General features: G+C 41.3%; 1 protein-coding gene across 9 annotated transcripts in view, besides 3 other annotated features; it reads left to right on the top strand.

Moving 5' to 3' along the window:
• The window catches only part of SETD3 (SET domain containing 3, actin N3(tau)-histidine methyltransferase), an 88,711-nt gene extending 64,226 nt beyond the window's left edge, over positions 1-24,485 (top strand). For 6 of the 9 annotated variants that reach the window (XM_017021699.2, XM_011537231.3, NM_032233.3 and 3 more), the window contains 7 exons: positions 8,299-8,357; positions 9,168-9,282; positions 15,643-15,717; positions 16,862-17,028; positions 17,923-18,008; positions 21,974-22,134; positions 23,108-24,485. In XM_017021699.2, coding sequence (XP_016877188.1) covers positions 8,299-8,357; positions 9,168-9,282; positions 15,643-15,717; positions 16,862-17,028; positions 17,923-18,008; positions 21,974-22,134; positions 23,108-23,554 — 1,110 coding nt within the window. In that variant the 3' untranslated portion in view covers positions 23,555-24,485. Of the gene's footprint in view, positions 1-8,298; positions 8,358-9,167; positions 9,283-12,017; positions 12,430-15,642; positions 15,718-16,861; positions 17,029-17,922; positions 18,009-21,973; positions 22,135-23,107 lie in introns of those variants that run through there. The other 3 variants (XM_011537235.1, NM_199123.2, XM_011537233.3) reach the window with 2 other exon arrangements.
• Positions 8,194-8,859: an enhancer, noted in NCBI's record as "NANOG-H3K27ac-H3K4me1 hESC enhancer chr14:99879711-99880376 (GRCh37/hg19 assembly coordinates)". NCBI's record gives its function as "activates a minimal SCP1, AML or CMV promoter by ChIP-STARR-seq in primed H9 embryonic stem cells {active_cell/tissue: H9 hESC(primed)}" and the evidence as "EXISTENCE:reporter gene assay evidence [ECO:0000049][PMID:30033119]".
• Positions 9,526-10,192: an enhancer, noted in NCBI's record as "NANOG-H3K27ac hESC enhancer chr14:99878378-99879044 (GRCh37/hg19 assembly coordinates)". NCBI's record gives its function as "activates a minimal SCP1, AML or CMV promoter by ChIP-STARR-seq in primed H9 embryonic stem cells {active_cell/tissue: H9 hESC(primed)}" and the evidence as "EXISTENCE:reporter gene assay evidence [ECO:0000049][PMID:30033119]".
• Positions 13,247-13,813: an enhancer, noted in NCBI's record as "H3K27ac-H3K4me1 hESC enhancer chr14:99874757-99875323 (GRCh37/hg19 assembly coordinates)". NCBI's record gives its function as "activates a minimal SCP1, AML or CMV promoter by ChIP-STARR-seq in primed H9 embryonic stem cells {active_cell/tissue: H9 hESC(primed)}" and the evidence as "EXISTENCE:reporter gene assay evidence [ECO:0000049][PMID:30033119]".
• Positions 24,486-24,661: the final 176 nt, after the last annotated feature.

Here is a 24,661-nt window from a genome sequence, read left to right as displayed (position 1 = left end):
TGCCAAATATGACCTCTCTCATACATGTATTTGATACATATGTTTTCTGGTCCAAACTTCTTCATGTGCATGGTGAACAGAATTAGACCAGGTAATCTAAGTTACCATCCAGGGCTGAGATTTTATGACCGAAGACTTAACAGCTAAACATGGTATTCTTTCTGATGGTGCGGGAAATAATAGACTCACTGTCTTAGTTTTGCTAATGTTGCCTGCCTTTAAACTTCATAATGCCTTTTATAATACCTCTATGGTGAATTTTAAATGAGAACAGTATTTACCAAGCATTTTTCTGGAATTTCACCAAGCAAAAATATATTGATTTTATTAGACTTTATAAGACTATTTATAAAAGTAGGACAACTAGATATCCTCTGCCTTGAAGTAAACTCCAGAAAACTCTTGTCTGGATTGTTGCCTAGCCTCATCATTTATTAACTGGGTAAACTTGGGTACGCTTTTAATGTCTGTCTCCCTCAGTTTCCTCATCTGTAGAATGAGGCTAATAAGTGCCATTTCATAGGAATTGAGATGATTAAATTATATGCACATAGAGTTCTCGATAGAGTGCCCGGCACAGAGCGCTCAGCAAATGATGACTGCTAGTGTCTGTCTCCCTCTCCCACTGTTTCTCATGGAGATGACAGAGAGCTTTCTTATATACCAAGCTGAGGTCATACCTTTCTAGGACAGGAGTTTATCTACATATTCTGAATGTCAGTTACCTTATAAAGGAAGTTGGTTTCATTATGGTGGTCCTAACATTCTCTTGTAAATGACTGATTACTACTACTGATTACAACTACTCTTGTAAATGACTGATCATACTAGATTGACTCATTTAAACAGAGTCCAACGTAGTTATCCTGAATTATTGAAACCCAAAATTGCTGAAATTAAAACTAAAACAATATATTATGAAACTGGTGATAATACATAATTCTAGCCTGCTTTTTTGATACACTCTAGCCTGCTTATAAAATAATAACTTTTTACCGTTCTGTTTATTTCTAGTTTCTTTAATAAGATGGAGGAGTTGGAAGTATATATATCTTTTGAATAAGCATTGATCGATTGGTGGAGTTGACTTTTTGCAGACCAGAGAATGAGGCTTGGTCATCGTTTAGAGTCCTTAAGTCAGTCAGCAGATTGAGATGTTGGGGGTGGGGGTGGGGAGACAGGTAGTGTCAAAAGGCAAAGAAACGAAAGATTTACTGTCTTTAAAGAAGACAGCAGTAGCTTGTCTGCACCTCCCACCCCCCCCCCCCCCCCCCCCCCCCCCCCCGCCCTCGCCTGGCTTTTTCCAGTGAGGAAATGGCAGCACAAGTGGTTGGGCAGCATGCTTGGATGACCTGGCAGGTTCCCAGCCTCACCTCTTCGAAGGGTGTGTGCTACATGTTCGGGGTGAGTTGGGGGTGGGGCGAGATTTGGTGACCATTTGGTACAGAGGACTGGTGGGCTTGATCTGTGTTGTTGTTTCTCTTTGGATTCTTAGAATAGAGCTTTCTCAAATGTGTTTAAAGAGAGATTTGGGGAAAAAAATGAGAAGATTCTCTGGCCCCTAGATGGTAGAAGAATATTCTGTTCATAAGAGGGAACATAGGATAGAAGGATGTGGAAAGCTGTGTTTTTTGAAGCCTATGGTCACTGCCTTGGTGTGGCAGGGGTGCCCACATGGGCTGGAGCTTTCTGAAGAGGAATGTGGAGATCAGATTCCCCTGGGGTTGCCAGTCCCTGGTGCAGCCTCTCAGCAGCACCTTTGGAGTCATAGCTTTCCTCCGCTGTCCCAGGAAAAAGAGTAGAAGTGTATCTTGTCACTTGGAGAAAGAAGATTTTTTTGTCCCATTCCAGCAGGTGTAGTTAAAAATAAATTTTAAAATTTTAAAAAAGAAGAGGAATTCTTTGAATGAGGCACTGAGCAAGGCACTGGGGACTCACAGGGGGTCAAAGAAGACATGGTCCCTGCCTTGCTGAGCCTGCCTGTGGGGACTGGAGGGGAAGAGATGCTAATCAAATGGCCACAGCGCATGCAGTTGTGAGGGGCAGACTGAGGCCAGCGTGGGAAAGGCAGGAACAGGGCAGGAGGATCAACAGGGACCTGGAGATTGGAGAAGGTGGCCCGGAAGAAGAGGGATTTGCATGACCTTGCCTACCATCCTTTTGTGGTTTTTTGGTCACTTATCTGTCTTCACTGCTAGGCAGTACCCCCTAATGATATCAGTGATGTACAGTGCCTTCCACTTCGGAGGTGCTCAGGAAATGAAGTATGTGTTGAATGAATGAATTTCTAGTCTTAACCTATCTTCATCTTTTTTTCTAAGTCAATAAATATTTGTTGAGTAATTGATGATCAAAAATATTGATTGATTATCACTAAATTTGGTTCATAATTGGTTGCCCATCATAGAGTATACAAATGGTAGCTAATAAAAAGGTTTTTTTTTTTGTTTTTTTTTTTGAGACGGAGTCTCGCTCTGTCGCCCAGGCTGGAGTGCAGTGGCGGGATCTCGGCTCACTGCAAGCTCCGCCTCCCGGGTTCACGCCATTCTCCTGCCTCAGCCTCCCAAGTAGCTGGGACTACAGGCGCCCGCCACTACGCCCGGCTAATTTTTTGTATTTTTAGTAGAGACGGGGTTTCACCGTTTTAGCCGGGATGGTCTCGATCTCCTGACCTCGTGATCCGCCCGCTTCGGCCTCCCAAAGTGCTGGGATTACAGGCGTGAGCCACCGCGCCCGGCCATAAAAAGGTTTTTAAACAGACGTATCTTTTGCCATGTTTCAACAAATTTTAATTAAATTTAACTGGATGTAGATTATACATTCATTGTCTTCCAATGGGAGAAAAAGTTCTTCCATCATAATTTTATAAATTTATTGAACAATGTTATTTCTCCACTAATTTCATTTTCTTAATTTAAGTTTTTTAAATTATAAGGTGATACACATTTGTCATAGAAAAATTATATATAAGCGAAAGGCAGAAAATCTTAATTCAGTGTGTATTGATGTATTTAAATTTTTATTTCATCATATCAAGTGAATTCAAAGAACTTTATGATGAAAAATTCCCTGAAGAGTTGGATATAATCTGTGCTTAAAAATAAAAGTCTTAAAAATTGATTTTTTTCCCTCAAGAGCTGAACATGTGAACCATGTTTTGATTCTGATTTATGGTCATCAAAACTAAATTTTCAATTCAAGAGATACTTTGCAATTTGTCATTCTGTTCAACTGTATTATATCCACTTAGAAGACGGGTTGATCAGCCTTCTAGAAACTCGCTGTCTTGCATGCTGCTGCTTATGAGCCTGCATTTGGGGGTGGAAAGGGGAAACCTCAAGGTATTTAGTGTAAATTTTTCTCCTGCCTGCCATCTTTTCCATCTTTCCAATATTCAGCTTTCTTCTTTTTGTTTATCTTCTCCCATTTCTCCTCACTCTGTTTCCTTCTGGGGATGTCCATCTTCTTACTCTCTCTCTGCTCCCATTCTCTCTCTGATTGGTGCAGTATTGCTTTGAAGAGGAAGGGGGTCTCTATAGGCCTATAGGATGGGCCGATGGAGCTGTCTTTTGCACCTCTGCTTTCTCAATTTTTACAAAGCACATGTATTTGCTGAGGCCATGGATCCACAGTGGGCCTAGGGAGGATGCCACAGGCTGTCCTGCCCAGGAATTTGTCAGACCAGAGATCTCTTGGTTATGTGAGATAGGGTCACATTTCTGAAACTTGCAAAATTGCATCCACCCTAAAAGGCCAAATGTGAGAGTTTGTGACTGATCTCATCCTTGCAGAAGGAAGGAAAATGAAACCATCACGTGAGTTAGGTGTGTCTGTTCCTGGCTAATTAGTCCCTGACTAATTAAAAGAGATAGTCCCTGACTATCTCTTTTAATGTATGCTTAAGGAGTGAAGCAAAACAAGATCCAGCTGGATTTTAGTCAGAAAAATTTAATTGCATGGCATTATGGTTTTTTTATCAGAACAAGCTAGGTGCAACTTCTAAATTATATTTTGTCATTTCTGATACTATAGTCATCAAACAGGGCAGAGTCACTGAATTCTTCCATAAATATATTTGAAATTAATAATTTTGCATTATGGCAGGATGTAAATTCTTTAACATACAGTATTTAGAAGAGTCATTTCTATGAGCAACTTTCCTTTTTGTATAGTTAAATGCCTCATTGAAGGTGATTAATATGTTCAACTTGTTTTTCTTTAAGTAAAAATCAGTCTGGGTAGAGAAGAATATTCTTTAGAAAAGTAAATATCTGATTTTGGGAAATGTTTGTGTCTTAGAGGCCATTTGTGTGTTCTAATATATTTTTTTCTTCAGAGCATTTTGATTCTTTAGGTTAAATATGGCCTTTTGAGAATTGTTTTAGGAAACACCTCTCCATGTATTTATGGAAATACTTTTATTTTAAAAATGCTTATTGTTAAATGTTTGAAAAACATGAAAAACAAAAAAACCTTAACGCAAATGTATTTTGTTCCTGTGCAGAGCTGTTAATGTTTCAAAGCTGTTTCACGTACTAGATGTTTCTGAATTAGGGATTCACATAATAATGAATTCTGCTTATTTTGGTTCTCCACAAAGGTTTGTTGTATGAGCTTAAAATAAGCCTGCAGCTGATTTGTGTAACACATATTAACTGTTTGTTTAGTTTAAGTGCATGTCTGTATCTCTCATTTCTGATCACCCTGGAACATTTGCATGCTGCACAGCAGCCATCTTCTTTTATACTTTATTAAATATCTGTCAATTATAAATATCAAGGTTTTACATTAATGTCAAGATAGTACATCAAAAATTCATGGAATATGTGACTTTTTCCAAGGGTATTTAATACTTAATGCATCTGTGTCATTTTTCTTTCCAGAGATATCGACAGGTTTTATTAAGTGTTTGTTAGGGAGATTTCATTTTTATCAAGGGACTATAAAGAGAAGCTGCATGCTAAATCAATTTTTTAAAGCCGGAATATTGTTCATTTTTTCATCTTCAAACACTTATAATCCATAGGTTTTATTTAAATTTCTTCTTGGTTTATTTTTGTTTTATGTGAGTGATAGTTCAAGACGGAACTTTAATAAGGATCAAATATGCTGACTGTAGTGGTTTTTAATTTCCTTAAGCATAGCTACCAGACCCATGCAATATGGTAAATTCTTCAAAATGTCATACTTACATATTTAGCAATATTGCTCTTTTTTATTGAAGCCGAACAAACAATTTTAGATATTAATCTTTCCCAAACGTAGTGATTATTTTGTACTCGGTACAATATTACTGTGTCTCAACATGGAATGCCTCCTTTTGCTGGAAGAGGGAAGGGGAAGAGTGCGTCCCTGGGTTGCCTGGCTCTGTAGTGCTTCAGGTCTGATTATGAGCCACGGCAATGGTTCATTTCTCCATCTTCATATATTTATTGTGCTCAAGAAAGTAAAAATATTAATCACTTAAAAAATCTGGAGAAAATCCGTGGCTAGTTTCTCCGCCTGTATTTACTGGGAGGTGTGGGCTGAGGGGAGGTAGCGCTTCAGGAGACCCCATTGCCGCTGCTGCTGGGCCCCCCATGCCTGAGAGGCCCTCTCACTGTCGTCTTTCTGACAGTGGCAGGCAGAAGCTTCTCAGGGACCCTCCTCACCCATCCCATGTGTGTCTGTGTCTTGGAATCTACAGTTACAATTGGTTTGGAAGCTAAAACCAATTGGCTGCAGAGAGTACGTTTTCTGTTTTAATTGTATATTTTTATTTTAAAAGTGCAAGCTAGGAATGTCTTCTAGTGAAAAGGCTATTGTAATCAACAAAACCTTTATAAGCACCACTTTGCTTCATTAAGTGAGGAACGCTCAGTTATCTTTTGTATAACGTATGAGCTTAAAGATTTTCATCTAAGGATATTTTAGGAACTTTCCAGTAACTTCAGATTAATAATTTTTGGAAGATGTGTTTTAACTTGGTCTTCAACAGGGAAAAAAGGTTTTTTTTTGTTTGTTTTTAATACATTGAGCTTAAATGAAAATTGTTTGGCATAGACATTTGTCTTATCCTTGTTCAATTCTTCAGAATAAGTAAAACCATTTATTTTCAAAATTAAATATTTTTTAATTATGAATATTTTTGATATTTGAATGTCTCAAGATTCTTATAAAACTATTATATAATAGTTTTTAGAGACAGCAGAGATTTTTCTTTTTAGAAACCAAATCTTAGTTGGGTAAAGCTGAAGTAGTAGCTGTTTTTGATAAGCCCAGTTTTTGGTTTACAGTAAGTTGCTTTAAAGGCCTTGCCCTGGGAAATATCAAGAACTCTGCGACTGTAATCTACTCTCCCAAGTTGCCAGAAGGTGGCAGTAGTGTCACAGTAATGAGAGCTCTGTGGAGAGAGTTATTTCCTTTCTCCGTTAGTGTCACATTTTGCTTTAGTGTCACTGTTAAGTGCATGTGTCAGTGGCAGAATCTTTTTTTTAACCAGATTTATGTACAGTGTGTACACCCTATTTCTTAAGAAGATAAGAACTATTTCTAACAGATTCTGCAAATATTATGTAACCATGCAGCCAAAATGATCTTCAAAATCTGAAGAATGCAGTGACACATTTTTTTCTTGAGTGTTTTTTTTTTCCCTAAATGATTTCATCAGGACTGTGAGCATGGACTTATATGTTGGGTAAGAAATGTGTATGAATAGCAGGAAGAGAAACATTTTGAAGAGTTAATTTTCCATCTCTTGATGGAGATCACCCATGTTTGGATAGTTGTGTAGGGTCCAAGGCTACTTAAAGAAATTTGAGAGTTAGAAGACTCTTGAAGTTATTTTTAGATTTAGCATTTTGAGATTTAGCATTCCAGTTTTGAATATTGTCATCTTTTCTGCCATTTAATAAGTCAGACTTCTTAGTGGGGGCTCCAAATTTTTAGACTTAGAGATTTAGCATTGGAACTTACTAACTTTCTACAGTTTAATTCTACAGTTTAAATGAATTAAAATACGTAAAAATAACAAAAACAACACTTTCCCACTTCCTAGAGTATGAAAACAGGCAGGATGTGCAAAGTTCCCAGTTGATCGGGTAATGCGAAGTTTCATTTTATTGCAAGTGAAGGAACTTTAGCAAAACTAACACTTAATTGGCAGCCTTTTGTAATACATAATTTGCCTAAAATTGCGCACTGAGCACAAGCTTTTGTTTTCTAATTGATTTACGGTTTTAGCTACTTTTACCTCATCCCCTACTGTCCTGCGTAGGGTGCCAGCGAGTACATTACAGTGAGCGATGATAAATTACAGTGCACTTGTGATGCCAATGCGTCACGAGTGAAAACTGCAGGCTACATGGAGCTTCCTGCATTAAAAGTGGTGCGGAGACCCGGCTTCAGCAGGATTTCATTTGTATCTCAGAAATAACCATTTGTTCATTTGATCACTTACTACAATCTATCAGACTGTAATTGAAACTGAAGATCCAAATTGTACTATTACAGCTTTTAATTTCTTAATTGAGACAAAGTTTTTAAGTGCTTGAAAGGCCTAAAGTGGAGGACGTGGTGAAGAGAGAATATGAAATCTATATAATTTTCTCATAAAAGTGAAGTTTTAGTATTTTTACCAAATGTTCTTTTGTCCAGGAAAGAAGTAAAATTTAAATATGCTGATCTGTTTTGTCGTTATCCTATGTGTTTGTGAAGTTATTTTATAGTCTCATAGACCTGCACTTCTCCTGATTTTCCGTGCTTGATCCGCATTTGCCGTGTATATGATTCATGTGCGAACAAGTTGATTCCCATGAAATGACTTAAGTCGGAGAGAAATGAAAGAGCTTTCAACCGATTAGAGTGCCTTTAATTTTTCCTTTTGTTGACATGGGATTTGAACCCTCTCAGAAGGCCTGTGCGGTACATCATGGCATGAGGTGCAGAGCGGGGCCAGGATGGACCTGGCTTGGGCGGCTCTGCGTTTCTGCTTAGATCCAGTGCTCATCGCGTAGGCGTGCCTGCCTTTTGTAAAGTCGGTCCACCTTAAATTGTGTTTTGCGCGTTGTCTGTGGGTGCTAGTATCGAAATATGAAGAAGCAGATTTATGGCGGCTGCTGGGCACAACAAATTAAGTTGACAGTGATGTATGAGAGCATAACAGCGCGATGATCCCTCTGTAGCGCGGCTGGACGCCGCCTGCTTCATTTGGCTCTTGTTAGGATCTGTTAGGCAGCTAAATAATGAAATTCTGCTGACTGATTTCTGTTTTCCCTTTTTCTCTTTTCACCTCTGCTTTCTAAAACTTCTAATTCCCAGACCCATCCTCATGCCAACAAACTACCCTTGAAGGATTCTTTCACTTACGAGGACTACAGGTTGGTGTGGGCTGTGAGTGTGTCTGTGTATTGAGGGTGGTTTCTAAGTGAAGTGGGATCCTGGAAGGGAGGGAAGGGCTTCAGTGAGAAGTGACCTGCTGTGACCGTTAAAGCATCCAAACAGAGCTCATCTTTCAGAAGTTATCAGGAGCAGCTTGGATAAGTATCAGCATTTTCATAGCCATGTAGAAATTGCCATTAACCTGTCATGGCAGGGGATTAGCTGAGGTAGCCAAATGCTACTTGAGATTAACATTAGTGTTGGGTGGTCCTATGGATTTTTCTTTTCTTATTTAAAAAAGACTATGTTAGTGTAAAATGGGGACTTTTTTTGAACGGAGAGATTTAATTCACTGCACAGTGTAATAAAAAAGTCACATTTTACATTTCTTACAATTCACAGAGGATTTCTGATCAGAAAGGAGTTTTATGGTTTGCTTTTCAATGAGGCTTAAAATAGGTGCAGAGTCAGCATTTGGGCAAAAGAGGGTTGGGTTGGGGGGTGTCGGGGAGTGGATTTTGTGAGTCACGAAGATCCGGGAAGGGGCCTGAGCCCTGCGCAAAGCCGTCCTTCTGGCTCTGCTTCTTGGGAACAGTCTGCCTTAAACACTCACTCCTGCATTTCCCCTGGCTCTTTCAAACCCTGGGTTTGTTTTTAAATGATGATGAAGGCCAAACATTACCTTTGTTACTTAGGAAAAGACTTTGTACGTTTGTAAGAGATCAAACCTAAATTTTTGGTTATGTTATTTCTTACTGCAATTGGCTTTTAAATGTTCCAACCTTAAGTCACCATTTATCTTGTTATAGGTGGGCAGTCTCTTCTGTTATGACGAGGCAAAACCAAATTCCCACAGAGGATGGTTCCCGCGTGACCCTGGCTCTGATTCCTTTATGGGATATGTGTAACCACACCAACGGCCTGGTAACGACCTCTTCCCCTGTGTTGTGTTGAATCTGGGAGGCTGTTGTTGCTAAGCTTTGGGAGGGGGCTGTTATTCCACCTACCCATCGTACTCCCCCCGTTGCCTCCCTCCAAAAGGAACAAACAAAACCGAACCGGCCACTCCTCCCCACCGCCCACAGATAGAAGCTGGTATTTTTCTTTTACTGCATTGACTAATACTGAAAACTGGGAGCTTGAATCTTATACCATTTTCAAAAGCCACAGTGAACTACATGTGTTTGCTAAGCCATAATTCCAGCCTCAACATTCATTTTCTTATCTTATTGTACCACAGACTAAACCAAAGTTTCTTTTTACTTATTCTCTTTAAAATGCTCATTTATTGGGGAAAAAAAATCATATTTCTCATTTTCCCTTTTGTGTCTTCTTTTCTTTGCTGACACTCTGTTTCCAGTTCTGTACCTTTGATTCTTTCTTGTCCCCGGTCCCTTCCCCTGATGGGCTGACGAATCCCTGGCCATGTTTATGAACCTGTGTTTGTTACTTGCTTTCCCTGGTGCTGTGGGGCGGGAGGAGGGGGCTCATGCCTTGGGCTCCTCGCCCTTGACTGCAGGAGTCAGCTGGCATCATCATACCTGGGAAGCCTGGGGAGGAGGAAGTTGTATTATTATGGTCCCCCACAGCTGGGAAGAGGTGGAGGCAGGCTCTGTTTCTCCACATTCTTCGGATTCCGGGCAGCAGCATAGGTGAAGCGCTCTGTGCTCTGTGAGAGGGTTGTCTGATAAAGATTTCCTGATATTAGTAGGCAGAAATAAGATACATTTCAGATCATTTTGAAATATCATACTTTATACTAGTATACTGTTTGATTAGGTTTTATGTTCATCTTTTCTCTGTCAGCTTTCCTTGTTATTAGCAGTATTATAAATAGAATAAAGAAATGCCGTGAATGATTATTTCACATTGAATTCCCTGGAATGGCCAGAACACACGTAGTGTGCGCCAGACACTGAAGACAGAATATCCTAGTGCTAATTTGGGAAGGTCTAGCAACAAGTATGTTCTTGAATCTTAAAAGTATTTAAATTGTGGCAAGAAAGAATAGTTCCATTTTTATAATTACATTTTGGCCTTAATTTAGATATGGTTAATTTAATTAGTAATGAATACTAAAACATAATAGCATGTTTTATAACTTATTTTCATTAATGAATATAATTTTACATTTTTTGTTTTGTTTTTCTTCAGAGTTATTTTAAATTGACGGTAAGCTTGAAATTTAAGAAATCTTCAAATAGCTTTTAATATCTGACTGTAGTGTTTTTCTTCTTCTTTTTTTGAATGAGATCATTTGTTCCCAAACTCAATTGATTATTAGAGTTCTTTTTAATAAAATTAAAGCAATAATGCTTGGCTTTACTCTAAACAAACAAAAAGAATTAACCCAGGAACCTCTGTAGCAAGGTGAGCAGTGCCCTACCCCCAGCCCCACAGTCCACCTGATGGTGTTGAGGCCGCCACCAGGCCACCGTGGTCCCTAGCGAAGCTTCCATCCATTGGCACCTCACACACTCATCTGCACATTGGTTTTTGTTTAGCTTCCATGTAAATGGGATAAAACAATTCCTTTTTCCCTACCAAGTGTTAAAAAAAAAAGAGGTTTATCTCAAAATAAAGAAATTGATGACAACCAGTGCTGTGTTTTCCCTAATACGACTACATACTTTTTAACCTACCACAGTCCTGGCAGAAACATTGCTAACCTGTAGAAGGTTTATTCAGGATGCTGGTACTTTGTCTTACAGTGGTTATGTTCCTGACATTCTGCACTCTGCACTCTTGTTGAACTGTTTCCCATTGTAATTATAAGATCTCATGGGAAATTTACTGGAGTAGAATTTAAGAAATTCTATTTTTTAACACTACAAAGTTGTTTATGATATATATTACAGTTAATGTCTTTTTAAAAATAAAGTCTTGAAATCAAGGCTTGGCTTTTAAGACGAGATTTTCTTTTTTGTGTGTGTCTATCCTGACGATCATCTTCTTATTGTCAGTCTACCCTGACTATCACTCAGGGAGTAGGTAGAATTTGTAACCCAGCAACGCTGTCTGCTTCTAACAATATCCCAAAAACCTGATTATGGTAGTAGAAACAGAAGAATCAAGTCAGTAACAGTAATTCCAAACCAGTGACAGCAAGGAAATGCTAAAGAAAGTAAGGGGCTGGATGAACACCTAGGCTAGAGATTCTGGTGAATATAAACTAATTTCCTAGCCACTCAGAGAAATAAATGTAGGAAGGGTTATAAGGTGTGGTACTAAGCTGGAAGAAACAACACATCTTTATATCTTGCATGATTTGTTCAAACTTAATGTAAGCAGCAGGTTTCCTTTGTTGAGGATTTTTCGGTTGATATGACAAGGATACTTCTAAGTGACTGTTAGACAGTGGTATTAGTTCCCATACAGAGAGTATGTTGGAATAATCAGTGCTTGCATTTGAATCTGCGACTCTACCAGGTGGGATGAAAGGGCAGCTGGAAATTCAGGCACAACGGAGGGAAGTTCTTTTTCAGGGTCCTTCTGTTTGTGTATTGAAAAAAAAATCTAAAACATTTATATTTAGATGAGTCTTACAGTCTCAAAAGCCCATTTTTACAATAGCAGACAAGTCTCTCCGAACAACCTGTCCCCCCACACCCTCCGTGCACACAGGTCTGACTCACCTCTGGTTCCCTGCTATTCTTCAGACACCAGAAGATTCCTTCGCTCTTGCTGTCGCCTCTGCCTAAGACCCTCCATTCCTTAGGCACTTACGGGACTCACTCATAGACCTCCTCCAGCGTGGCTGCCCTGAGCACCCTATGTGGAATGACTACGCCTCCAGCTCATCCGCCCTCCTGCCCTGTCCTGTTACATTTCCCTCTATTGTCCAGATCCGCTTGTTTCTGCCTTTTTAAAAAATTATTGTTGGTTCACCCCCCCGCCTCCCATTAGAATGGAAGATCCATGAACGCAGGGTGATTTTGGGGGAGGGTCTGTTTTGCTCATTGCTATATCGCTGTGGTTTTTAATGAATTCATGACCGGTAAATAAATGACTGTAAAAGCCCCATGCCTAGGAAAAAAGATCAGAAAGAAATAAACCAAAATGTTAACGTGATTGTGATCTTTTTTCTTTGTTTTTTAAAAAATATTTTCCAAATTTTATTTGATGAGCCTGTATTACTTTATCCTCCCCCCCCCCATGAAATCAATATAATACATATTTGTGGAAGAAAATTTGAAAAACACAGAGAAGAAAATGTAAATGGTCCTCACTCTGTTTCCATCTTAGGGATGTGTGTGTATGTATATCGTGCTCTTCCTCCTATGTTACTTTTAATATGTAAACGAAACTAGAATACAGCTGTGCACCAAGTGTGCCATTGAGTTACCAAGCCAGCCACAGATGTGAGTGGTGTGCGCTGCAGGCAGGTGGTGGCTTTCAGGGAGCAGGGCTCCATGGAGCTGCTGGAGGCTTCCACTCCCTGCTGGGTTCCTCCTCCAGCATTGCCAACAAACTCCGGCTGCCACCCGCTCCCCTCCCCTGGGCACACTTGAGACTCCTGTGGGGCTATTCTCAGTTCCACTTGCTTTTATATATACGTATATATATAAATTTTTTTCTCCCTGTGTCTTTTCCACTAGATGTCCCTATGGGTAGGGACTGAGACTTTTCATGCCATTTTCCAAGTGCCTCGCTTAGGGCCTGGCATAGTATGGCACTCAGTATTGTAGAAGGGAAGTTAGCTGGCAGTGTGGGAGGCAGGAAGCGGCACGTGGAGCTGGGCGAGGAGGAGGTGGAAGGACCCTGTCCTTGCTTGACATCGGGTGGCTGCCCCTGGACCAGCCCTGGCCTTCCCAACCCCTCCTCTCCTAGTCTGGGCTTCAAGTCAGACCTGGTCAGCGTCTGCAGATTTCTGGGCGTAGGTGGTAATTTCCTGGGGCTCCTGCCAGAAGGCCCTTGCTGAGCAGTGGGGTCCTTACAGCCTTGGAAGGCCCCTCTGCAGGCCCACCCTGGGAGGGCTCTGCTCTGAGAGAGTCCTCTAGAAACCTGGCTTCAGGCAAGGGAGGGGCGAGGCCTGTGCTTCCGCCTGCACTTCTTTGCACTGAGACACACTTGATACCGTCCTAGAGGAAGTGTTTGGCAGTGCCACACAAAGAAGTTAGACACTCAGCCTCCAAACATTCTGACCCTTGCTGAGAAAGGGCTGCAGACCGGGGCAGGATCCCAGCCTGTTTGCCTGTCCGGGTTGCTGTGGACATGTTAAACTATTTCTTGAGCTTGACGTTTGCTGAGAGTGGGAAATATCTGTAAAATACCCTTAAACACCCATAATCCTTTCTCCACAATCTCCCTAAATTTTCTCTTCCTTCCTCTAACCTCCCTCCTGTTTGTGCTGCTGGCAGGTCCCTGTGTACCTGTACTGCCAGCACCCTGGGAGTGCCTGGACTCCCTCCTGGGAGTTCATGATATGGGCAGCTTCTCATTCCACTTTGTTGTCAAGGTGATGTTTTGGGGTCAGAAAAGTACATCCGATGTTGGGCAGGAACTTCATGGAGTTGATTTTCATTCAATTGAAGTGTTTAAAATGTTCTGCGAGTGAAATGTTCTAGAATACTTGGCTTCATTTATTTCTCATTGCTGCATATTTATCACTGGTCTTTGCAGATCAGAAGCATGAAGGAAATTTAGACATATGGTTAATAAACCATATTTATTCTTGGGATATTGAGTTTAAAGATTAGTGTTACATGGCCTTCCATCCCAAAATGCCATTCCCTAGACTCAGAAGTCATCTTTTGAATCCAAGCTATTGATACCTTATTAGCAAGGAGCACTTGTAGCTGCTGTGAATCTTTGATTCTCCAGGATAAAATGAGTAGGTCAAAAAGTAATCAGTGACCATCGACAGACAACCTAAGAGATTGGGCGCTGCTCTAAAAGACAGGACTCTGAGAAGGAGGTTTTAATAGAAGCTGGGGACCCTTTCCTTTCCCCTGCGGGTTCATGCATCACGTGAATATTCTCAAAGACCACTTCAGGTTTTAGGTTCTGTGTGCTGAGCACTCGGGACACAGAGATCAACAAGGGGCTCCAGCTTCCAAGTGTGACCGACGGGGAGGCAGGTGCACAGATAACGTGACTTGGGCTGGAGCGCATAAGGACTGGGCTGTGGGAGTGCACAGGAGGGCAGGGTAAGGAGGGGCTTCCCTGAGAAGCCAGGCCACAACAGGAGTAGAAGGTAGTGTCAGGCAGGAGGGAACTGGGATGGCAGGTGGGTGGCAGTTCCTGAAGCTGGAGGGAAGCGTGAGCCGCCTCCTTATTCGGCCGTGCTCAGGAACTTGGGGTTTATTCCGAAGGCAGAGCGGAATCATAGGAAGATTTTGAACAGGAGAGTGACATCGTACAATTAGCAACTCCAGAAGGACAGTATTGGATTTTGAGACTAGGTTCCAAGAGTTGGAAGGTTTTTGCAAATAACAAGCTAGGTGAGAAGGAATAAGGACTATAGCCATGCAGAGGAATGAGGAAGAAAGTCCAAACAGTATTTACAAGATGAAATGCTGACCAGGTGAGACGCGAGGGTTTCCTTGTAACTTGTGTGCTGAGGCCATGACATTGGCTGACCTTCACTAAGACGGGGGAGCTTAGAAGGAGACGCAGGTTTGGGGTATAATGAGAGGATTTTCTATATTTATTTGTAATGGACTTAGAAACTCTCACATTGTATTTCTCAGCAGAAAGAGAGGGCATAAAAAACAGCAGTTATTTTATTTTGCCTTTGCATGCTTGAAAGTTTTAATTTCTTTAATTCAGAGCATATATCCATAATTCAGAAATAGAGCTTTTCTTTTCCCTGATTCTTTATCCAATGGAACACCCACTTGGATTTCTTAATGGCCAAACATTAGATAAAGATAATACTTGCAAATGAATGAGAATAGTGCAGATCGTCAGTGAACAGAAAGGAGGCTTAGGTGCACCTGTGGGAGGCGTGGCCTGTGGGCTCACTGCCCTCACTGCCACCAGGGAGGCCCAGAGGCGATTATGTTTTGTTGAGTCCAGCAAGTGACAATCTATATAGTCTCTTTATCTAACTGTGCTTCCTTTATTTCAGGTATGTAATTTTCCATAATCATCTCTGATATAACTAGAGTTAACCTCAGTGCTCAAGCAGTTCTTTGCCCCATTTTCCAAAGCATTCAGATGCCACCTTTTGAGTACCTTGGGATCCCCTTTTTCCTCTGATTGCCAGAAACAAGCTTGTAGATTAAGTGAGATGTGCGTGTGTTTGCCTCACCATCATTTCCTTCCTCCTCCCCGGGCTAGATCACTACTGGTTACAACCTGGAAGATGACCGCTGTGAGTGTGTGGCTCTGCAGGATTTTCGGGCTGGAGAGCAGGTGGGTCTCGTGGCATCTCACAAAATGTGAGCCAGCCAGTGGGCACTAACGTTAACACCGTGTTGGTAATCTTAAAAAGGAACTTAACTTAGGGGAAAAAATGTGGAATTCACATTGAGGATTGTTTTTCTGGAACACATCTTGAGACCAGAACCCGTAGTACACATATTCACTTGTGCTTTACTCACTTGTGCTTTGCATTGTGCTTTGGGTCCACAGAGAAAAAGATTTAAACACAGTTAGTTGCACAATTGGCCTAATATTTGTAAATATTTGTAACACTCTTAACTGAAAATAAAGTGTGTTATGACACTAAACAATGTTTAACATTTCATAAACTGTTGCCTTTATTTTTTCTACTGATTAGAACTTTATAAGAGTATTTAAGGGGCAAAAGCAAGGGAATCTGTTGTCTTATACTTTCATTTTAATCTCTGATTTTTTAATCTAGTAGTTTGGGTGGGAGGAGGGGTAAGCCTTTGGGTGAGTTTGAAAATACGTGTCTATAAATTCCTACATTCTATCAGTCTACACCCAAGCAGACAGTACAGTCATGGAACTCACATCCATAATTGACATTCCAGTTGAGACAAAATGAAAAATACTTGCCTAGCAAAGTACTGATCTGTTCCTTCTTCAGAAAAGTTTATAAACCCACCTGCCAGGTGCAGGATTAATTGCCAGAGGATCTAGAAATAAGTTTCTGACAGATACTGCTTTACAGTTCCAGAAGAGACCCTGCTGTATTAAAAGGACAGGAAGAACTTGGTGAATTTTAAAATACAGTCTTATAGTAATAGCCTTGCTGTCCTTTGGAAGGAGAAGAGGTTTATAATAGAGGCCTGGTGACCCCAGGTCACCTGGGGTCCTTTGAGTACTAGTAAGGCCTTTGGTGGTACTTTCTCCTGGCCTCCCCTCTCCTCTCCACACGGTGGTGGAAGTGGGTGCTTGGTCTCAGACAGTTTGGAAAGTTGGGAAAATTGCACAGCTTCACCCTTGCAACCTATACCAAACAGGTGTATCAATACTTTCAGCTATTTAGTGTCTAAATGTAAAGTAGCACTAAGCCTCTGCCCTGCCCTGTGTTAAGAATACATGCCAAGTTTGTCTAATGCCCTTTTCTTTTTTCTTTACTGCATCTCAGATTTACATTTTTTATGGCACTCGATCCAACGCAGAGTTTGTGATCCACAGTGGTTTTTTCTTTGACAATAACTCACACGACAGAGTGAAAATAAAGCTTGGAGTGAGTAAAAGTGACAGACTCTACGCCATGAAGGCCGAGGTCTTGGCTCGTGCCGGCATCCCCACGTACGTAGAAAAACATCGGTTGGCCCTTTCTTGCAGTACTTGAACTATTTCCAGTTGCATAGTGTTTAATTGGTGTGTTAATAAAACTTCTCTCCAGTAGTTTGTCTTAATCCGTTTATCCCCGTGGCACAGCAAATTTAAGCCATGGCGACGCTTGGTGGCTTACCAGCGTTTTCAGGTAAACATAATTGTGTCGTTGGGCGCATTCACAGTCAGTTCTGGGGGATATGGCCTGAAATCCTCATTAAGTTAAATAACTACTTTCGTATCATTCATGTCTTTCACCTTGAAAAGGTTAATGGCCTGGATCAATTTGTTTCATTTAATTCGTTGCTACCATTAGTTTCTGTAATGAAGTCATGATCCTCAGTGATTTCAAGAATTTCTAGTTAAGTTCTTTAAGATTTTCTTGCATTTGAGGCATAAAATGATAAAGAAGACAGGAATTAGGATTCATTAGTTCTCCAGGGAATAGAGGAACCATTCTTAATGAAAATGGATTATGCAGACCTTTTTTTTATTGAACTTGTCAATATTTGATTAATGATTAAAGTGTGAACTCAACATAAATTATTGTTAACACTTTTTAAAAACCATGTGTATGTTTAATTTTTGAATGTATTATGTGCAACCTGAGATTACAGCTGTTAGGCTCTAGGAAAAGCTTGTGAGGATGGTCTCCAATTCTGGATGTCCGCTTGCCTCCGCCCCAGCCTGCGGCCTTTTGCAGGGGCTGAAAATCGTGCTCACAGTTGAGATGAGGAGCTGGAATGACCCATTCCAGCTCAGCTCTCCTTGAGGACAACCACACGTGCTGTAGACTTAAGGAATCTCAGTTTGGAGCAAGTGGGTAACCGCAGCAGGGTGACTGATCTTGCTTTCTGCTTTTATCAGTTCCAGTGTTTTTGCATTGCATTTTACCGAGCCGCCCATCTCTGCTCAGCTTTTGGCTTTTCTCCGAGTATTCTGTATGACTGAAGGTAAGTCATTTCAGGAAAAAAGAGATGTTGACTTTTTTCTTTTTAAATCATGAAAGTGTAAAGCATAGGGATTCAGATTAAAGGTAAAGTGGATTAAAACTACAGTACTTTTGGGAAGAGAGAAGATACAATACTGGAGAAAGAAGAAATAGATTTGTTTTACCCTAGAAATGTTTTATTAAATCCTCGATGTGTTGTCAGTATTAATTTGTAATACGCAAATAATTCTCAACTGCATTTGAAGAAAACTTAAAACATCTTGGATAGGGTAAATATATCAAAATTCTACATTTGTAGCCTGACAGAGCCTCATTTCACTCACGGGGCACTAGTCTTTTTCACTTACATAGAGCAGTTCAGGATCAGTTGATGCTGTGATGTTGTGTAGTCAGCTGTGGCATACGTGGACCGTAGGACTTTATTTGTTAACCTACTCTGCATTCTAAATCTGAAATTGCCAGCAAGCATTTTAATGCCAAGCATCCTGTTAGAGTAAATAACATTGCAAACAGAATCTGTGTAGAACACAAAATGTTCCTGGCTACAGCCTCTTATTTCATGCCCAGAAAGAGTTAAGTATTTGTATTGAGCATCTACTTTTATATTAGCTTAAAACAAGTCATTTGGGGTTTCTTATGCTGAGATTTGACCTCTCGTGGTTGTGTTTTTATTTTTCATCCTAAAATGTATCTTACAAATTTCCTGGCCCTGAGGTTTCATTTTTAAGAGAGAGAAAGAGAGAGAGAGAGAGAGAGAGAGAGAGAGAGAGTGTGTGTGTGTGTGTGTGTGTGTGTATGTTTTGCTGTTGTTAACTACCTTAAATCCTGTACAGAACAGTCTGAGTAGGAATGAGTAAATGAGTGTTTGAGTGAGTGAACAGACGAACAAGTGTTCTGGAAGGAAGCTGCCCAAGCACTTCCTTGGTCGGAGGAAGCAGTCATGGCCCATGTGGGGGAAGCTGCTGTGCTCGGCGGTCACTGGCTTTGGTTTTAATGTCTGGATCCAGGGAGCAGTGCAGCACAAGTCCAGGGTTTGACGTCATGCTGGAGGCAGAAAAAACCTAGTCCCGAAACAGGAGAGGCAGTTCACACACCAACCGCAGAACCCAAACTGAGATACAGTCATTGTTCCTCATAAGCAACCCTGTCGCTAGATTTACGGTTATTCAAGTGGGAGCTTTTGGTGCTTTTTGTACTTGGGTAATGGTTCATCAATTCAATGTAATGAACACGAGTTAAGGGGTTAACTGTGAGCTTTTCTTGCATATATATGGATACAGAATTGAATGTTGCAGTTCATGTACTCAAGGCATTTATAATTAAGAGAGGTGATGGTGATGATATTCCTTGAATTTGTGAAGCATTCACTGTGCGCCAGGCATGATGCTACATTTGGTACATGCTCAGTTTTAATCCCATCAGCCTTGATTGGGAAGTGCTCCCATTTTACTGATGTAGATTCCACTTCAAAGAGGGTAAGTATTAGCTGGGCGTGGTAGCACGTGCCTCTAGTCCCAGCTACTCGGGAGGCTGAGGTAGGAGGATTGTTTGAGCCTGGGAGGTGAAGGCTACAGTAAGCCAACCCCAGCCTGGGTGACAGAGTGAGACCCAGGTGGGTGGGGAGTGGGGGAAGAGTATAAAGTTGGCTGGATGCTGTGGCTCATGCCTGTAATCCCAGCACTTTGGGAAGTTGGAGGATTGATTGAGCCTGGGAGGTTGAGGCTGCAGTGAGCCGTGATCTTGCTACTGCACCCTAGCCTGGCCAACAGAGCAAGACCCTGTCTAAAACAAACAAACAAACGAACAAACTAACAAAAAACCCAAAGAGGATAAGTAACTTGGCCGAGGTTGCTCAGTAAGCAAGTGATGACCCTGACTTAGAACCCACCTCTGTTAACTCCAGAGCCCACGTGCAGGACATCCCACATTGCTCCTGCTGGTTCACAGATAACATAGTACATGGAAAAAAGTCTTAGTGCTCTAGGGGTCTGGAGGAAATGGCATTCAAGTTAAACTGTGGAGCTCAGCGACTGTTTGGACAAGGTAGAGCAGGAGGGGAGGGGTATGACTGAAGACCTTTAGCATAGGGAGGAGCTTGAGCAGGAGCTAGGGAGAGAGGGTGGAGGGCACTGGGCTCTGTACCCTCCGGGGTGAGCACACACTGTGGTGGCCAGAATGAGGTGCAGGGATAATTTGCAGGCCCTGTTTGCTGGAGGAAAGCTCAGGAGGGCACCTGCTGCAGGAGCTCCTGGCCTGCAGGCAGGCCACATGCTACATTGTCTTACTCCCCTTTTTGTAGGCTTTATTTCTCCAGAAATGTGAAATGAGTCCAGTTTCACTTTTAAAAAGTAGCGGAGAGAAAGCTCTGCCGCACACCTGCAGCTTCCATCATTGCAGAGTGCAACTTGGGCAGATTGAGGAAGGAGATGAGGGAAGGAAACAGTAACCTTCATACTGGGGGCCTTTGAAAAGAACTTTCAGCCACTAAGAAAGCTTAAAAAAACAGAACGTCCATGTTGTATGCAAAGAATATAAAATGACTCAAAACTAAAAATCCTGAATTTTATCATGATCTTTACTAACAAATAAAAGTTAATAAACTTTTTTGAACATTAGATAGCTTGTTTTCTTAAAACTGCTTGAATCCTTTTAGGTCTGTTGATTCTCTTTAGTTCCTCTCTAGTCATAGACAATTTGTCATGTCAAGACAATTGCTGTATCTTTGAATTACTCTAACTAATACTAATAAAAGTTTGGTTTGCTGGCAGCCGCAGTTCTTCAGTTTGAATCGTAAATAGTGACAGCTGTGGGGCATTTTGCTCTGAAAGAGACACTGTCTCCTAATCACATAAGAAGCATGGGTCTGTTTCTTCAGCATGAATAGGATCGGCTTGTTTTGGTTTTGGAGATAATGTGCCGGGAGATAAAATGCTAAGAGCAGTTGCTGAATTCTTTCCTCTTCTTAAATATATTTGGAGATAATTGAGATGTTCACTTGTGTGTATTTGTAATTCCTATTTAAATTCCTGACAAGTGAGAGAGATGGGCATATTTTTCATTAACTGAGAATTTTTTTTTTTTTTTTTTGAGACAGGGTCTCACTTGGTTGCCCAGGCTGGAGTGCAGTGGTGCGATCACAGCTCACTGCAGTCTCCACCTCCTGGGTTCAAGTCATCCATGCACCTCAGCCTCTTGAGTAGCTGGGACTACAGGCATGTGCCACCATACCTGGCTAATTTTGTATTTTTTGTAGAGATGGGGTTTCGCCACATTGCCCAGGTTGGTCTCAAACGCCTGGGCTCAAGTGATCCACCTGCCTTGGCTTCCCAAAGTGCTGGGATTACAGGCGTGAGCCACTGCGCCCGGCCCATTAACTAAGATTTTGATAGTGCTCCTTATGGTAGCACTGTTTGATTTAGGCTCTTATTTCTTTCAGTTTGTGGCTTGTTACGAACGTGGCTTAAATAGCTTGGTCAGGTCATCTACTAGAATAAGTGCCAATCAGATTTACAGTTATGGGCTTGCGGGATTGTTGTGGCTCTTGTTCCTTTCACCGTTTACATCGTTCACCTAAATGTCTTTTTTGACTTGGTGTGATGGAGCTCATGGCTAGCAAAAGGGGTATTGTCAAAATAAGGGGGTACATGGCTGTAGATTGTCTTTAAAAAGTATCTTGTGAAACTGTCTAAAGGCTCTCAGTGTCCCTCATAGAAACAGTGAAAACTGGAGTGCTACCAAGGCTTGATCAGGATTCCACATGGAGAGGCCTGACCTGGTGTTGCTCCCCAAAACTTAGCTCTGCTCTACTTTGGAGAGTCTAGGAGTGGCCTGGCCCATTGCGTAGGGACAGCTTTTACCGTGGGAAAATGGCGTTGTTGGAAACAATATTTTCTAAGGTAGATTGCTTGTTCAAATGAGGAGTGCTATGTTTTCCTCCTAACAGATTGCCATTTGTATTTCTTGTAGAAGAACTGAAAGAACACTTGCTGGGAGACAGCGCTATTGATAGAATCTTCACCTTGGGGAACTCGGAATTTCCTGTTAGCTGGGACAACGAGGTCAAACTTTGGACATTTCTTGAAGATAGAGCCTCACTTCTTTTAAAAACATATAAAACAACTATTGAGGTAATTACACTAAATAAATGAGGTTTTGAACTTGTTGTGTTGTTAAGATGTTTAATGAGGCTTGGTGCGGTGGCTCACGCCTGTAATCCCAGCACTTTGGGAGGTCGAGGCGGGGCGGATCACGAGGTCAGAAATTCAAGACCAGCCTGGCCAACATGGTGAAACCCCGTCTCTACTAAAAATACAGAAATTAGCTGGGTGTGGTCTGTAATCCCAGCTACTCAGGAGGCTGAGGCAGGAGAATCGCTTGAACCCAGGAGGCGGAGGTTGCAGTGAGCTGAGATCTCGACACTGCACTCCAGCCTGGGTGACAGAGCAAGACTCCGTCTCAAAAAAAAAAAAAAAAAAAAAAAAAAATTTAATGAAAGATTTCTTGTTAATTCTAAACTACTGTAATAGTTTAGCAAAATGATTGCATTTGAAATTTTCCATTCATTTCCCAAAAAATCATATTTAGGCATTGTTTATTAGAAGATACATTTTTAAGATTATTCAATACTTTTTTATAATTTATAATTCACGTGATTTCACAAACATGTTTTCATTTGTGCTTTTTAAGTTCACTACTGAGCCACTAACTTCAAATACATCTTTCTCATTTATTCGTTCCTTCACTGATGCCATTCACCCACGTGCTGCCCTGGGGCTACATCAGTGCCCAAGATAGACAGGATGATTTTTAAATCAGTGAAGTTCCCTGGCAGATGGGGTAGCACTGTTTGATTTAGGCTGTTCTTTCTTGTTTTGTAACATTTCCATTGAGGTATAATTTACATACAATGAAAGGCATACTTCTGAAGCGTACGTTTTGATGTGAGTGTCTGGTCATGCGACCACCTGCCCAGTCAAGTGTTAGAACCTCCCGTCACCCCAAAAAGTTCCCTCATGTCCCCATCCCCAGCCGTTGTGCCCTCTGTCTCTATAGTTTTGCTGGTTTAGACTTCTTGTAATTAATTTTGCTCTTGTTTTCCAGGAAGATAAATCCGTCTTGAAAAACCACGATCTTTCTGTTCGTGCAAAAATGGCCATCAAATTGCGCTTAGGTGAGAAAGAGATTTTGGAAAAAGCAGTAAAGAGTGCAGCTGTCAACCGGGAATACTATCGCCAACAGATGGAGGAAAAGGCTCCGCTTCCCAAATATGAAGAGAGTAACCTTGGGCTGTTGGAGAGCAGCGTGGGGGACTCGAGGCTCCCCCTGGTCTTGAGAAACCTCGAGGAGGAGGCTGGAGTGCAGGATGCCTTGAACATCAGAGAGGCAATCAGCAAAGCAAAGGCCACAGAAAACGGGCTTGTAAACGGTGAAAACTCTATCCCTAATGGGACCAGGTCCGAAAATGAAAGTCTCAATCAAGAAAGTAAAAGAGCAGTTGAAGACGCCAAAGGATCTTCTTCAGACAGCACTGCTGGAGTTAAGGAGTAGCTCGAGGTGAAGCTGGATGGGGGATCCAGTGGAGCAGGAGTTGACGGACAGTCCGTTCACATCGCTGTGTTTCCTTGTTAACATTTTTCTTTCTGCAGAGAGGAAGATATGTTTTTGCTGCTTTATATAAAAATGGTTTTTTTAAGTTATTTTAAAAATCTAGCTTCCCTTTTTGATTAAGATTGCCATCTTGCTTTTAGGCAAAACAAACCAATTAACAAACAACCACAAGAAAGGGAGAAGAGGTGCCTGTGGGAGATTTTGCAGACCTATTGTGGGTATAGGTATTTTCTTCCTGGGGAAGAATTCAGTTCCCGTCTCAGCTGTACTTTTGTGGGCCTGTCATCTTGATGACCAGAATGAAAGCTTGCTCTGCCTCCTGCCAGCCAGAATTGGTGGCGGGACTTGGGGATACAGCGTGAAGGTGGGGAAGTTGCACAGCAGAAAACAGAATTGAAGTTGGGAAACTCTAGAGTCTGGGCAAAATGTTTGGTTTTTTCTCTTAAAAAAAATAACACCCCATTACCAAAAGAAAAGGTAAGGTGGCAACCTTATTTTTAATAGTTTGAAATGATGATAATCCTAATTATATAAAAATATATATATAAACACACATATATATAGTGATTTCTAAAGATTTGTTTACTTTTGTGTTTTGTTTTACTGTACTAAGAACTTGTCCTTTCTCCTTGAATCAAAGTAGGACATGCATCATCCTCCTAATTTTAAATGTTGGCTCTGATTTTAAAGTGGTGCATTTGATTCCAGCCTTGGTAATGGAGAGTTTGCAAACACACAGCGGCCCACAGCTTCACGTGGTGGTGTGCAGTGTGAGGCAGCTCCTTGGCTTTCCTGGTTTTCACAACAAGCTAGAGATTTTCAAAGCTACACTTTTGAGTAAAAACCCTTATTAAAAGAAAAACATGATTAATATTTTTGTCTATTCCTTTTTTTGGAGTGGGACAGGCCCTGTGAGTTTAGCTTTTACACAATCCATCTTACTGCCCAAGCATTGTTGGAACCTTGACCTCCTGCCCTGGGCTGTGCTAACCTGGGGGCTACTGAGACATAGCCGTGGGGCCCAGAGGACTGTAGGAGCCCCCCTCA

The sequence above is a fragment of the Homo sapiens genome, chromosome 14 (assembly GCF_000001405.40).
Source record: "Homo sapiens chromosome 14, GRCh38.p14 Primary Assembly".
Taxonomy (NCBI): domain Eukaryota; kingdom Metazoa; phylum Chordata; class Mammalia; order Primates; family Hominidae; genus Homo; species Homo sapiens.
The sequence above is the reverse complement of the archived record's forward strand: the minus strand, read 5'-3'. Positions and strand labels throughout refer to the sequence as shown.